This window comes from Homo sapiens, chromosome 7 (assembly GCF_000001405.40).
Source record: "Homo sapiens chromosome 7, GRCh38.p14 Primary Assembly".
Classification (NCBI taxonomy): domain Eukaryota; kingdom Metazoa; phylum Chordata; class Mammalia; order Primates; family Hominidae; genus Homo; species Homo sapiens.
In genome coordinates this window covers 99,261,120-99,274,899 of record NC_000007.14, presented here as the reverse complement: position 1 = coordinate 99,274,899, position 13,780 = coordinate 99,261,120, and the positions used below count along the sequence as shown (strand labels likewise).

At 50.9% G+C, this 13,780-nt stretch overlaps 1 protein-coding gene across 2 annotated transcripts in view; it reads right to left on the bottom strand.

Annotated features, from left to right (window-relative positions):
• MYH16 (myosin heavy chain 16) overlaps positions 1-13,780 on the bottom strand; it is a 72,300-nt gene that overhangs the window by 36,229 nt on the left and 22,291 nt on the right. Inside the window, exons 12-19 of one of the 2 annotated variants that reach the window (NR_002147.3) lie at positions 13,267-13,446; positions 11,440-11,566; positions 10,592-10,650; positions 9,711-9,796; positions 9,213-9,330; positions 7,926-8,046; positions 3,807-3,943; positions 1,477-1,558 (exon numbers count right to left, since the gene is read on the bottom strand). Coding sequence is in view for 1 of the 2 variants with exons in the window: in NM_001431356.1 (NP_001418285.1) it covers positions 1,477-1,557 (81 nt within the window). In the remaining variant the exon portion in view is untranslated. Of the gene's footprint in view, positions 1-1,476; positions 1,559-1,822; positions 2,062-3,806; positions 3,944-7,925; positions 8,047-9,212; positions 9,331-9,710; positions 9,797-10,591; positions 10,651-11,439; positions 11,567-13,266; positions 13,447-13,780 lie in introns of those variants that run through there. The other variant, NM_001431356.1, reaches the window with a different exon arrangement.

The window sequence follows — 13,780 nt, the reverse complement described above, 5'->3', positions numbered from 1 at the left end:
GAGTTTGAGACCAGCCTGGCCAGCATGGTAAAACCCTGTCTCTACTAAAAATACAAAAATTAGCCAGGTAGGGTGGCAGATGCATGTAATCCCAGATACTCAGGAGGCTGAGGCAGGAGAATAACTTGAACCCGGGAGGCGGAGGTTGCAGTGAGCTGAGATTGTGCCCCTGCACTCCAGCCTGGGTGACAGAGTGAGACTCCGTCTCAAAAAAAAAAAAAAAAAAAAAAGTGAATTAATGTAAAGAAAGGTGAGTCATGGAACAGGCGGGGAAAGCCAGGCGGCACCGGCAACGCCTGGCCTTTGAGACATGCTCACCTAGATTCCTCTCCAATCCCAGGTCCTCCAGGGCCGGCCTGTGTGTGGATACATTTGGGGAAGCAGAACTTACTATTCCTCCCTTTCCATCTGTGGTGGGTGCTGATTGTTAGCTAGTTCTTTCCCATGGGGGAGTGTAAAGAAACTTCCTTGTGAGCTATGGAGGACTCAGGGCCACCCGAGATGACTCAGAGCCTGTCCCCACCCTCTGCGGGTCCTCCTTTCTCCTGAACATAGCTGCCTGGTGCCTGACTCCCTCTTCTGGTGCCCAGAGACATGTCCCTCTTAATGGTGGCCCCAGCACAGGCATGATTGGACCCATGTGCAGTGCCATGGCTGGTGGCCTCCTGCCTTGGTTGAGGGTGGCCTGGCTGCTTGGGACCTCTGTGGGTCCCACCACCTGGCTGACTCACATACCATACTCATTGCTGTTTCGGAAGAACAGGAAATGAGAGGTCGGACCTTATCATTTCCTGAGGTTCCCCCAGCTCTAAGCCAAGAACTCACTGGAGTTGAAGATGCCTCAACATGCCCAGGGGCAAGGAGTCAATAATCAAGCTCACTTTTTTTGGTGGGGGTGGTATGGCGCTCTCCATCTTAAGTGGATTTTATTTTGAGGGATGAGATGGAAGGCAGAAAGACACTTGCTCTCCTTTCCTTTCCTCTCTCCCTTCCTTTCCTCTCTCCCTTTCATCTCTCCCTTCCTTTCCTCTCTCCCTTCCTTTCCTCTCTGTCTTCCTTTCCTCTCTCCCTTCCTTTCCTCTCTGTCTTCCTTTCCTCTCTCCCTTCCTTTCCTCTCTCCCTTCCTTTCCTCTCTTTCTTACTTTCCTCTCTCTCTTCCTTTCTTTTCTTTTGAAATGGGGTCTCACTGTGTTGCCCAGGCTGGTCTCAAACTCCTGGCCTCAAGCAATCCTCCTGCCTCAGCCTCCCAAAGGGCTGGGATTACAGGTGTGAGCCACTGTGCCCGCCCCATGATTTTTCTTAGGGAGGAATTAGTCCCTGTCTGGACAGAGGCTAGATTTTTGTCTCTAAGGTGCCCTCATTTTCAAACTGTTCTTGCAGCCTCTCACTCCCGAGGGGCATCTCTGTCCAGGATCAAGCCCTCCCCCAGCCCATAGGCAGCAGCAGTCCCCCCTGGCCTGGCCCCTCGGCCCTCACCTTGTTGTACAGCTTCCACCAGCCCCAGAAACGGAGCTGCAGGAACTTGTGCACGTTCTGCTGAATGACTTTCAGGCCCATTCTGCGAAAAGAATCCAGGGTTGAGTGGGTTACAATGAAGGTGTTAGGACCTGGCTTCCCTGGGGAAGGGGTGGGGCCTGGGAATAGAAGCCAGCAGATCTACCTTGTTCAGACACCAAAGTGCCTTCTCGAGACCCAGCATTGCCCATGTGGTCTGCGGCAGGGAGACTCACGTTGGGGTCAGAGCTTAGCAGCACGATAAGGGAGCTGAGGTGAAACCTGATGGAACCAGGTCCCTCCCAGATGGCACAAGGCTGAGACATACCAGTCATTGACTCCTGCATTTTCCCTCCTCCACCAGAAATCACCCATTAGTCTCCAAATCCCATGGATCTGCAAAGTTGCTGGAATCTGCCCGTTTCTTGTTCCCTGCAGCTTCACTCAACTGCCATTTATTGAGGACCTCCTGTGCACCAAGGCCCTGGGCTGAATCAGGCCAAGATCCCTCACATCAGCCCCTAACTGGTATCCCTGCCTTCAGTCCAGGGCTGCAGGTGGCCTGCTGATGGGAACAGGAATTCATTACTAATTCTATGACCACAAAGAAATAGAGTGAATCACAGGTCATCTGGGATGGACCTACCTTTTTTTTTTTTGAGACAGGGTCTCACTCTGTTGCCCAGGCTAGAGTGCAATGGTGCAATTATGGCTCACTGGAACTTTGTACTCCCTGGCTCAAGCAATCCTCCTGCCTCAGCCTCCAAAGTAGCTGGGACTACAGGCATGCACCACCACCTGCGAATTTTTTGTTTCTGTTTTTTTTTGTAGAGATGGGGTCTCCCTATCTCCTGTTGCCCAGGCTGGTCTCAAACTCCTGAGCTCAAGTGATCTCCCACCTTGGCTTCTCAAAGTGCTGGGATTACAGGTATGGGCTACCACACCTGGCCAGACCCAGCCCTTTAAAAATTACCAGGTTAGGGAGATGGCTGAAAAACATGGTTCCAAGGGCAGGGATGTGGAGTGAGAATTGCTGAGTTCTAATCCTGGCTCTGCATGAACCTGCCCCAGTTCCTTAACCTCTCAGACCTCAGTTTCCACATCTGTAAAGTGGGGGTGCTGGCCCTACCATGCCCCTCTCATAGCATCATTATGTGAATCAAGTAAGAGGAAGGCTGTGACATGACTTGAAACTATAAAGAGAGGGTTTATATTAGTTGTTTCCTGTTAGGGGTTAAGCTGTGTCCTCCGAAAGGATACGTTGAAGTCCTAACACCCAATACCTAGGAAGGGAACCTTGTTTGGGAATAGGGTCTCAGCAAATGTAACTAGTTAAGATGAGGTGGTCATACTGGAGTAAGGTGGACCCTAATTCAATGACTGGTGTCCATATAAAAAGAGGGAAGATGGGCTGGGCGCAGTGGCTCACGCCTGTAATCCTAACACTTTGAGAAGTTGAGGCAGGTGGATTGCTTGAGCCCAGGAGTTTGAAATGAGCCTAGGCAACATAGGGAGACCTTGTCTCTACCAAAAAAAAAATTAGCCAGGTGTGGTACAGTGCACCTGTAGTCCTAGCTACTCAGGAGGCTGAGGTGGGAGTATCACTCAAGCCCAAGAGGTTGAGGCTGCAGTGAGCTATGATCGCACCACTGTACTCCAGCCTGGGCTACAGAGCAAGACCCCATCCCCCACTCAAAAATAAAATTTAAGGCGATGGATATCCCAGTTATCCTGATTTTATTATATGAATGTATCAAGTTATCACATAAAACCTAAAATATGCATAGCTATTAGGTATCAGTAAAAAAATTTTTAAAAATTCCTGTTGTTTGAAGCCACCCAGTGTGTGAACTTGGTTGCGGCAGCTCTGAGAGACAGGGTTCTTTTTATTTTTTTGAGACGGAGTTTTGCTTCTGTCGCCCAGGCTGGAGTGCAATGGCACGATCTCAGCTCACTGCAACCTCCGCCTCCCGGATTCAAGCGATTCTCCTGCCTCAACCTCCCCAGTAGCTGGGATTATAGGTGCCCACCACCACGCCCAGCTAATTTTTGTATTTTTTGTAGAGATGGGGTTTCACCATGTTGGCCAGGCTGGTCTTGAACTCCCGACCTCAGGCAATCCGCCCGCCTCAGCCTCCCAAAGTGCTGGGATTACAGGCATGAGCCACCGCACCTGGCCAGCCACACAGGGTTCTTTGTGCCAGCAAGACATTGGCATCCACCCCTGGCCCACCACGCAGCATGGCCAGTGGAGCTGGCCCTGAGTGCGTGTGGCTCCTCTGGGCCTTCCTGTCGGTGTTTGTGAGTGCTACCTTCGTTCCAGCATCTTCTTGAACTCCACCCTCATGAGGAAGCCCCGAAGCCGACACTGCAGCATCGTCATGATCTTGGCCAGACGCTCGTCCCTCATGTCCTCAAGCCTGGCCAGGATGCCCGCACGGAAGAACACCTGGGGAAAGACCGCACGCCTTTGAAAAAGCCCGGCTGTCACCGATGGCAGCCACTTGGGGGAGTTTTAAATCAAAGAAGGGTTTTTGTTTGTTTGTTTTGCTGGAGTGCAGTGGCGCGATTACGGATCACTGCAGCCTCAACCTCCCGAGCTTAAGCAATCCTCCCATCTCAGTCTCCCAAGTAGCTGAGACTACAGGCACATGCCACCATGCCTGGCTAAATTTATTATTATTATTGTAGAGATAGGGTCTCACTATGTTATCCAGGCTGAGCCTCCCAAAGTGCTTGGGATTACAGGCATGTGCCACCATGTCCAGCTAATTAAAAAAATTTTTTTCGGCTGGGCGCAGTGGCTCATGCCTGTAATCCCAGCACTTTGGGAGGCCGAGGTGGGTGGATCATGAGGTCAGGAGATCGAGACCATCCTGGCTAACATGGTGAAACCCCATATCTACTAAAAATACAAAAAGCCGGGCGTGGTGGCGGGCGCCTGTAGTCCTAGCTACTCAGGAGGCTGAGGCAGGAGAATGGCGTGAACCCGGGAGGCGGAGCTTGTAGTGAGCCGAGATCACGCCACTGCACTCCAGCCTGGGCAACAGAGCAAGACAGTCTCAAAAAAAAAAAAAAAAAATTTTTTTTTCTGAGATGAGGTCTGGTTATGTTGCCCATAACCAAGGCTGGCCTTGAACTACTGGACTCAAGTGATCTTCCTATCTCAGCCTCCCAAAATGCAGGAATTATAGGCATGAGCCACCATGCCCTGCCTGTTGATGTTTTAAAAATCCCCCCAGGCCAGGCACGATGGCTCACACCTGTAATCCCAGTGCCTTGGGAGGCTGAGACGGGCAGATCAGGAGTTCAAGACCAGCCTGGCCAACGTGGTGAAACCCCGTCTTTATTAAAAATACAAAAAATTAGCCAGGCATGCTGGCAGGTGCCTGTAATCCCAGTTACTCGGGAGGCTGAGGCAGGAGAATCGCTTAAACCCGGGAGGCGGAGGTTGCAGTGAGCCAAGACAGTGCCACTGCACTCCAGCCTGGGTAACAGAGTGAGACTCCGTCTCAAAAAAAAAAAAAAAAAAAAAAAAAAGTGTCCCCAGATGAGTCTAATGTATAGCCAAGGTTGAGAACTTTGTTCTAGAGAAATTCCTGCACAGGACCATGAGCAAGGATGTTCACAGCAGCACTGCAGTACAGTGTGGCAGTGACAATGTCACGTACCAATGAGGATGAAGCTTAGAAACATGGCAAAGCGATAAAAGCACGTCATGGAGGAATGTCACGGAAGGGTGTGTCAAGTATGATACTTCCATGAAGCTCAAAACCAAGCACGACCTGCAGGCATATGTGCTAAAGCTATTTTTGAAAGGTAAGGAAATAAGCCAGGTGGTGTGGCTTATGCCTGTAATCCCAACACTTTGGGAGGCCGAGGTGGGAGGATCACTTGAGCCCAGGAGTTGGAGAACAGCCTTGGCAACATATTGAGACCCCATCTCTATAAAAAATACAAAAATTAGCCAGATGTGGAGGTGTGCACCTGTAGTCCCAGCTACTCGAGAGGCTGAGGTGGGAGAACCGCTTGAGCCCAACAGTTTGAAGCCACAGTGAGCTGTGATCGTGTCACTGCACTCCAGCCTGGGCGACAGAGCAAGACCATGTCTCTTAAGAAAAAAAAAAAAAAAGAGAATGGTTCATGTCAAAATTCAAGACAGGGTTACTCCTGGGGGTAGGGAGGGGATGGGAGAGGAAAGACATGAAAGGTTGACATTCTGGGCTTTTCAGTGGGTTCACAGGGTGCTGGCTTTATTATTATGTTTCATAATGTAACACCTTTTTACAGGCTTCAAATAGGACATAATAGAAACTTTTAGAAGGATAGAAGGTGCCAGGAGACCTGCATTCTGGCCTCAGCCTTCCTTGGATGTGCTGTGTGTCTGACTGTGGTTAAGTCACTGTCCCTTTGGGGGACCTAGGCTTCCCCTCCTGTCCGGACAGAATGCTGCCTGCAGGGCCCCTGGGACCTCTGAGCTGCGGGAACCCAAAATGCCACACGGGGCCAGGGAGTACAGCACCTAACTGAGCCACTGTGGGCAAAAGATGAGGAAGAATGCTCCCTGCCCCTCAAAAGGACCCCCGAGGAGCTAGACATCGCAAGGTAGAGAAATCAGGCTTGATGTCATAAAACATTTCCTGATATTTCAAAATTAATTGGCGTTGAGGTTTAGTCTTTGAAACAAGCATGTGGCTGGGGGTGGGGCCCACCTGAGCCAACTCCAAACATAGGAACACCATTTGCAGTCAGAACCATCCTGTTCTTTGTTCTCCTCCTGCTGCCAGTCTGCCTAGTCCTCAGGGAGCAAAACTGTCCCCAGCAGCCCTGGGCCTTCCCCTGGAACTGACGTGCCTAATGCAACCCTTGTACAACAGCAAGATGCAGTCTGTTTGGCCAGGTGGTAAACGGACAAGATTCTGAGCTGTGCCAGATTCTGAGATACCAGCTCCGGCTTTCCCGGCCACACGACCGCCACTGGTGGGCCTTATGCCGACTAGCTCTGTCCCGCTTCGTTCTGTGAAGTTGGGCATGCCACCTCCACCCCCTCTCCAGGCTTTCTTAAGTTTCCCATCTGTCAAGGGTGGGTAGGGAAAGGAGGGGCCCGTTGGTTTCTAAGATTCTTTCCAGCTCAATTATTCCATGATCCTGTCTCCAAACCTCAAGTGTCCCCCGCAAGTCAATCTAGCTATTTACAGCACATCTTAATTGTGAAGGATGCCAAAACAAACAGTTCCAGCAGGTTCTAGGGCAGTGTTACAATTCCACACACACAGAGTATTATAAAGCAAGCTCCAGGGAGTGAGGGACTCATTCTGTTCTCTTCACTGTGTGTCCCTAGAGCCTGGAACCATGCCTGGCACACAGTAGGCGCACCATAAGTGTTTGCTGAGTGACCAGATGCATTAGAGGCACAGGCATGCTGGAAGCTTCCATGCCAAGCCTGCGTCATGCGTGAGAACTTGGAGAGAGAAATGATCTGCTCCAGGCGGCACAGAGGCAGGCTTTGAGCTGACTCTCCTGACTGCAAAGCCTGTGAACCTCCTGTGTCACGGGGCGATCATGTTGGGGTGCAGTTTGTTGTGGGGGGCAGGGCGGCTATAGAAGGACACCTGGCACCACTGGCCTGGCTAGCCTTTACAACCCCACCAGGATGCTGCAGGGCCAGGAAATGGGATAGACCCAGGGCAACTCGGGCCCCATGAGTCAGGAGCAGGAGGTTGCTCTGTCTGAGTCAGTCCCATCTCAGCCGCTGGCTCAGAGCTGGGCTTACAGTGCTTCATTGTCCAGGCTCTGCCCAAGCAAACTTCCCCACGGGCCAGATCCATGACCTTGATTCTCATTGGCCCTTTTTATTCTTGGACACTCAGGGCTCAGGCCAGGTGTGGTGGCTTATGCCTGTAATCCCAGCACTTTGGGAGGCCGAGGCAGGTGGATTGCTTGAGCCCAGGAGTTTGAGACTAGCCTGGGCAACAGAGTGAGACCCCATCTCTACAAATAATTTAAAAAATTAGCTGGGTGTGATGGTGTATGCCTTAAGTCCCAGCTACTTGGGAGGCTGAGGCAGGAGGATCACTTGAGCCTGGGAGTTCCAGGTTGTAGTGAGCTGTGATTGCACCACTGCACTCCAGGAAGACCCTGTCTCAAACAAAACAAAACAAAACGTAGGGTTCTAAGAAATATTCTACCATTGATTGAGTTCCCCTCTGAGCTGAGCTGAGTTCTATGCGTGTTGCCTCTAATCTCCCCAAATTCTATGAGACTGGCATGACCAATCTTGATTTTTCAGGAAACTGAGGCTCTCAGCAGCTGGCAGACTTGCCCGAAGTAGGCCATTGGTCAGTGGTCAGGTGGAATCCACACCCCAAAGCCCACCTTCTTGGAAAAAGGCTGAGGGGGTGTGTAGGGGGAGACCGCCCACCATACCCTACCTTGGTGTGTCCAATTTTGTATTCATTCACATCTAGGTCAATGGCTGCAAGCAGCAGCTCTGAGGCCTTTTTGTTGTCCACGAACCCCTGGGGAATCACGTTGGGGTTCAGCACTTGGTACCTGGCAGGAGAGAGATGATTGACAGTCATCACTGTGCCCAAGCTGACAGCACATAAAACATGTTCATGCGGTTATCCGCTGGTCTTTGAGATGGACTTTGGACAGAGATTAGACTTGTTTGACAGATGCCCCTGGGAGGCAGAGAGATGAGATCAATAGGAGGCTTTGGAATAAGGGCTACAGCTTGGGAGTGGACATTGGTGTGGGTTGGGGGTACAGGGAGGAGCTGTTTCTAGAAATGAAGACACCAAAATCCCTTCCTGATAGAGCTTGGAGTTGAGAAAAGGGCATTGATCCAGACATCAGCAAACAGGTTTTTTATCATGACCTGGGAGCAGCCCCCTTTGTGATCTTGGACACACAAGTCCCCAACTGGGGACTTCAGAGGGGCTTGGATAAGGTGACCTCTAGTGACCTTTCCTGATCCATCAATCTGTGGCCCTATGTTCTAGGAAGTTGGAGGAGGTAGAAGATCATCTCTAAGGTGGGGGTATTAGTTACCCCAGTGTTCGTCCAGAAGCAGACCCTGAGATAAGAATTCAAGTGCAAGTAGTTTATCTGGGAGGTGGCAGAGTGGGGAATGGGAAGAAAGCCAATAAAAGGCACGTTATGGGGGCAGTTAGTGCAACAGGCAACTGGAGCTTAATGCTGCTGGGATCACTGGGAGCCACAGTGGGAGTATTTACATCATGGAAATGGGCAGACACTAGCAATCGGGGTTTTTTTTGGACCAGAAGAGCTCTTGTTTAACATTTACCAACACACTGCTGTCTGAGCGCATGTCTGGAAAATGTCTCAGATTTAGCCACCAGAAGGGTGAGGGAGCTGAGGTATTTATACACCAGCTCTCCTCAGTCACTGATTGAGGGCTCCTTCCAGGGAGGCATTAATTCCCAGGACTTTCAGCTTGCCAAGAAAGGGCAAAGCAGCATCCAGCAGCTGAGAAATGCAGGGGCTGGCAGTTGAAATTTGGGCAAGTGTCTATGGCCATACCACCCTGAACATGCCCAATCTCTTCTGAAATTTGGGCCAGTGTGTACTAAGGTAGTGACTGATGGTGAGGTGGTATTGGCAGAGCACCATAATATCTGCTGCAGTGGGATGTGACTTATCAGCTGGTCAACTCCTGGGCATCTGAGCCTTGCACCCAGGGAGACATCACTCACCTCTGTTTGAACTCCGGGTACTGCAGCCTGTTTGGGAAGCCCTTCCTGCAGATACGGATGCCTTCCAGGACACCATTGCAAGCTAGCTGGTGCATGATCAGGTGGGCGTCTATCACACCTGCCAAGGGGGAGGGTGCAGGATGGAGAGTCCCTCCTCTGGGGTGGGACAGGCCAGTCCTGGCCACTCAAGGAGGCTGAACTGAGCATCTGTGCCATCATCCCCAGTCTTCTCCTGTCACTGTCCCAGAGGCCCCAGGTCCCCCACCATTTGGCCAATGCCCAAAAGCTCCCAAGTTTGATTTCTGCCTGGCTGGGCACCATTCTGCTTTATAAAGCAGCTAGAATATGATTCTTGGATGACCCATTGTTGAGGTTTCTCTCAGAGCCTTGTTTTGCCCCCATCAGCCTTGGTGATGAAAGGTGGACTTAATTTGGAATGAACACTAACTTCACAGAACCTCAGGACTTCCAGCAGGGAGCCGTGACCCCACAACATACCCGATTGCTTAAACTCATTGGGGATAATACAGCGGACAAAATGGGGTGCGGCTATGGAGGGTGGTCATCAGCTTGTTCAGCTGCTCCTGGGGTTGGAGGACAAAGAACAAGTGAGTGAAACTTTGCATTGATGTTGCAGGACACCCACATGCAGGAGAGGTATTTGTTTAAAGTTTATTCACTTAAAACTGAATTAAAACTCAGCCACATGTGGTTAGCGGCTACCGTATTGGGCAGTGCAGAAGAGAACGTTTCATCATTGCAGAAAGTGCCATTGGGCAGCACTGCTCTCAAGGTCCAATGACTTGCTCAAGGGGCCGTGGTTTGCAAGAAGTGGGGCCCCTCCAGATTCAGAGCTGGGTCGTTGTAGAATCTCAGTACTAGGAGGAACCATAGGGTCTGTGTGGGCAAAGCCCTGTCCACTGTTAGCTTCCCTAATGGATGCTCCCTCCTCCTCTGCTTGGATATCTCCAATGAGGTGACCCACTCTGCCTTGGGACAGCCTGATTCTTGAAAAGTGTTGACATCTTCCTTTGTGCAACATCTCCTTGTAGACTGCACTTTGGAAGGTAATGCCCAAACTTCATGGAAGTTGTGGCCAGCCCAAGACCTGCCAGCCAACTCTAGGACACAAGCTCTTGGGCATTGCTATCTCGCGTGATCACGCTGCACAAATCCCTTTACTCTCCAGGTTTAAATCCAAAAATGGGTCTCTTCTGCCCAATGATCCTATGATTCTGTGGCCTCTTCAGAAGGAAACAGACCCCTCCAGGTAAAGAGGCGATCATAGACAGAAAAATGAAATCATCCTGCCCCTGGCCATGAAGCAGCAGCCAGACTACCCAACATTGAAAGGGAGGGTTGGGGGCACCCCTGCTCACCCTGTAGAAATTGGAGACTGTCATGAAGGAGGAGCCTCTCTTCTGCTTCTTGCTTCCGGCTGAGGAAGGGACAAGCACGTTTCACATCAGTACCCAGTATGGAGAAAGGCAGCCCCATTAAGCACTCTGCAGCAAAGCACACACATTCTTTGGATTTAAAAAGGCTTATCTTAGGGCTGGATAAGGGGGACCCTCATGTGAGGAAAATGAGATCTACCGGGGAGTGATCAAACGGGCTGGCTACAGCGTAATTCTCAAAAGAGTTGCTGTGCTCCTTGGGAGGGTGCAGTCTTTTGTGATTTCTGATGCAAGGTGACAAACTGCTCCCATTTTCTGGGGAGGAAGAAGCACCCATAGACCATGGGAGAAGGTGCACTTTGGTGGTGAGACCAGGGAGACTGGTGTTTCTGGCCCCACTAATTGGCAACCCTATGGGGCAGCATCCACCAGAGCATTCCTCTATGAGCCACATGACCTCTATTGGAAGAGAGGCAGGACTGAGCTTGGCATTTGCTTCTGACAAGAGAGAGGGAAACAGAAAAGAAACATAGAACATCTGGGTGTCAACTTTTCCAAAGCAGTATCCATCCACCTAGAGGCAAGATGTGCCCAGCAATCAGTTCAATCATTGGAAGCTCCCATGTTGCCTCTGCTTGCCTCTTTTGCAGTATCATCCATGGCCTATCTCAAGCCACTTTTCATTCATTCATTCATCCATCGGTTCACTCACTTACTCACTCACTTATTCCACAAGAGTTGAATCAAAGAGTTTTGGTTTCTTCTTTCCATTTTGGCCACTAAAGGGCATCAGCACAGGGATACTGGACACAACAAGGGGTCAGCCCTACCTGGAGCCTCCTCTTCTTTGAAGAGAAGGGCCAGGATTGCCACACTCGATTTCTGGAACAAGCCCACCACTGTTTCATTCAGGGGGTCTTTGTTCTTCTCCAGCCAGCCTGTGATGTTATATCCCACCTGGAGAGGGCAAACGCCAGTGGGTAACTTTGAGGTTCAGCCTCTCCCTTTCAGGTGCCACAGCTAGAGCCCCTCCTACAGCTCTCTCCTGTTCTCAGCTCCCAGGACCAACTTTCACCCCCACATCCTGGGGCTCCAGTTCTTGTCCTCATGACTCTCCTGGTGTCCTGGGATGCCCCTGAAGCCCCATCTGAGTTGGAGGCTCCATCATCTGCCTTCTTGGGCATTTGCAGTTTGCCCATCTAGGATACGCCAACTCTGAGCTTTGCACATAAACCCAGACTCCCCTGCTACTCTCTCCTGGGCTGTGTGACCTTCTCTTGCACAGCTTACTCTGCTGGCCACGCTGACCCTCCCTGACCCTTGGGTCTTCTTCTGCCCAGTGGTTTGCTGTCTGTGACTGACCGTGGCTGTAGAATCCCGAGCTACGTGAAGAAATCTCTTTGCTGGGAAGCATGCAGCCCCTCTTGAAACACTGTAGGGTCTCTCCTTGCTAGGGGAGCATGCACACTGTCTTACATCACTGTAGGGTCATTGGCTGATGGAAAGGGGGCTCCATCCATCCAGCACTGGGGGCTCCATATATCCAGGTATTTGGACATCCACTAATTTCTGCTTCCCATCTTGCCACATGGTCCCCATGGCAAGGGTAAGGAGGAAGGAGTCTTTCAGGTCCCTCCACTGAGCACAGAGAAGTGAGGTAAGTAGAGGAGATGCCAGAACTTCTGGGTTTGCCATCTCCTGTGCAGCACAAAGACATTTGTCATCTCTGCCTTATTTTAGGGCCTTCTTGGAAATGCACAGGTGCCACTTGACTTTGAATATTCCATTGCTATAAATAAGGAACTCTTCTCAGTTCAGTGTGGGAAGAGGGGATGGAGAGCTGCAATTTGGTCCCAAGCCTGCTGTTTGCTCCAAGTATCGGCCACATCCATTTTACAAGCAATTGGCATTATGGTTATGGTTGATGGTATCATAAAGCCTTGGCCCTGATGCCCAATGCCATCATGACTTTCCTGACAGCTCTGTCTTAAGGCTGCTGTTTCATGGCAGTCAAACCCACAGAGGCTCAGCAACCTCCATTGGTAACAGGAGCATTGGCACTTACAGCGATAATAAAATCCCAAGGAAACAAAATGCATTCTTATAAGCTGGCAGGATGAACGTCACCTCCCCTATTAATTATGCAAATGCAACCTGAGTCCTGGCTGCACTTAATTTCCCCACTTCCCAAGGACTAAGTTTGTCATGAGTGAAAAAGCCACTTTATATATGTCACCTTGTTGGTTTGGTGGCTATGAGCTGTCAGAGAGCCAGGTTATCAGTTGGGAGTAATTAATGGGCTCGTGGAATTTTTGTTGTTTGTTCTTTTTTGTTCTTTTCGCAAATGTTGTCATTTCTGGCCAAGACTGAAGTTCAGCTGTCAAACCAAGGGCCCAGACAGGTCTGATGGGCCTGGGCAGGGTGTGGCCTGGACAGGTCTGATGGCTGTTCCCTAATGGATATTTCCCTTGGAGAAGTGATGAGGAAGTGTGAGCGGAGCTCACTTCAATTGGCTGATTACCCTGTTATACCATGGTTGTGCACTAGTGGAAGCGGGACGTCTCTGGAGGGGTGTGTCAGCATGTACCTACAACAGCGGCAGTGATGGCAGCCAGCTGGGACCTGAAACACAGAGGGACCCTGAGGCCAGTACTCACGGTGCCTGCGTAGTGAACCAGCTCGAAGTGGACCTCGGGCCCCTTGCTCTTGCCCCCCTTGGGCTTCAGGAAGTTGCTGGACTTGCCCAGGTGGTTGTCGTACAGGGCTGCCTTGAACGTGGCATCGGTGGCTTTGGGGAAGACGCACTGTTCCTCCAAGATGGAGAAGATGCCCATGGGCTGGGAAGGAAGAGAACAGGGTGATGTTAGAGGAGGTGGCAGGACCCAAAAGAGGACAAACTGGTACTGAGCCCAGGGCCAGTGTAGAGATGCACCAGACACCCACGTGGGCATCCAGGAAGCAGGACTCTGTGCAGTGACATCTGGGAACAGTGCCTGGTGCTCCATGACCTTGTCATCAAACACCATGGCCATTAAGACTTGAAAGAGGCTGAAATCATCGAGTCCAACAGAAGGGAAGACTGAGATCTGAAGGGGCCAGATAGCTCCCCAAATGCTAATCCCACCTAAACAGTGGCCCCTGGCAAGCTTGGCCTTCTGAAAAATGGGGAAG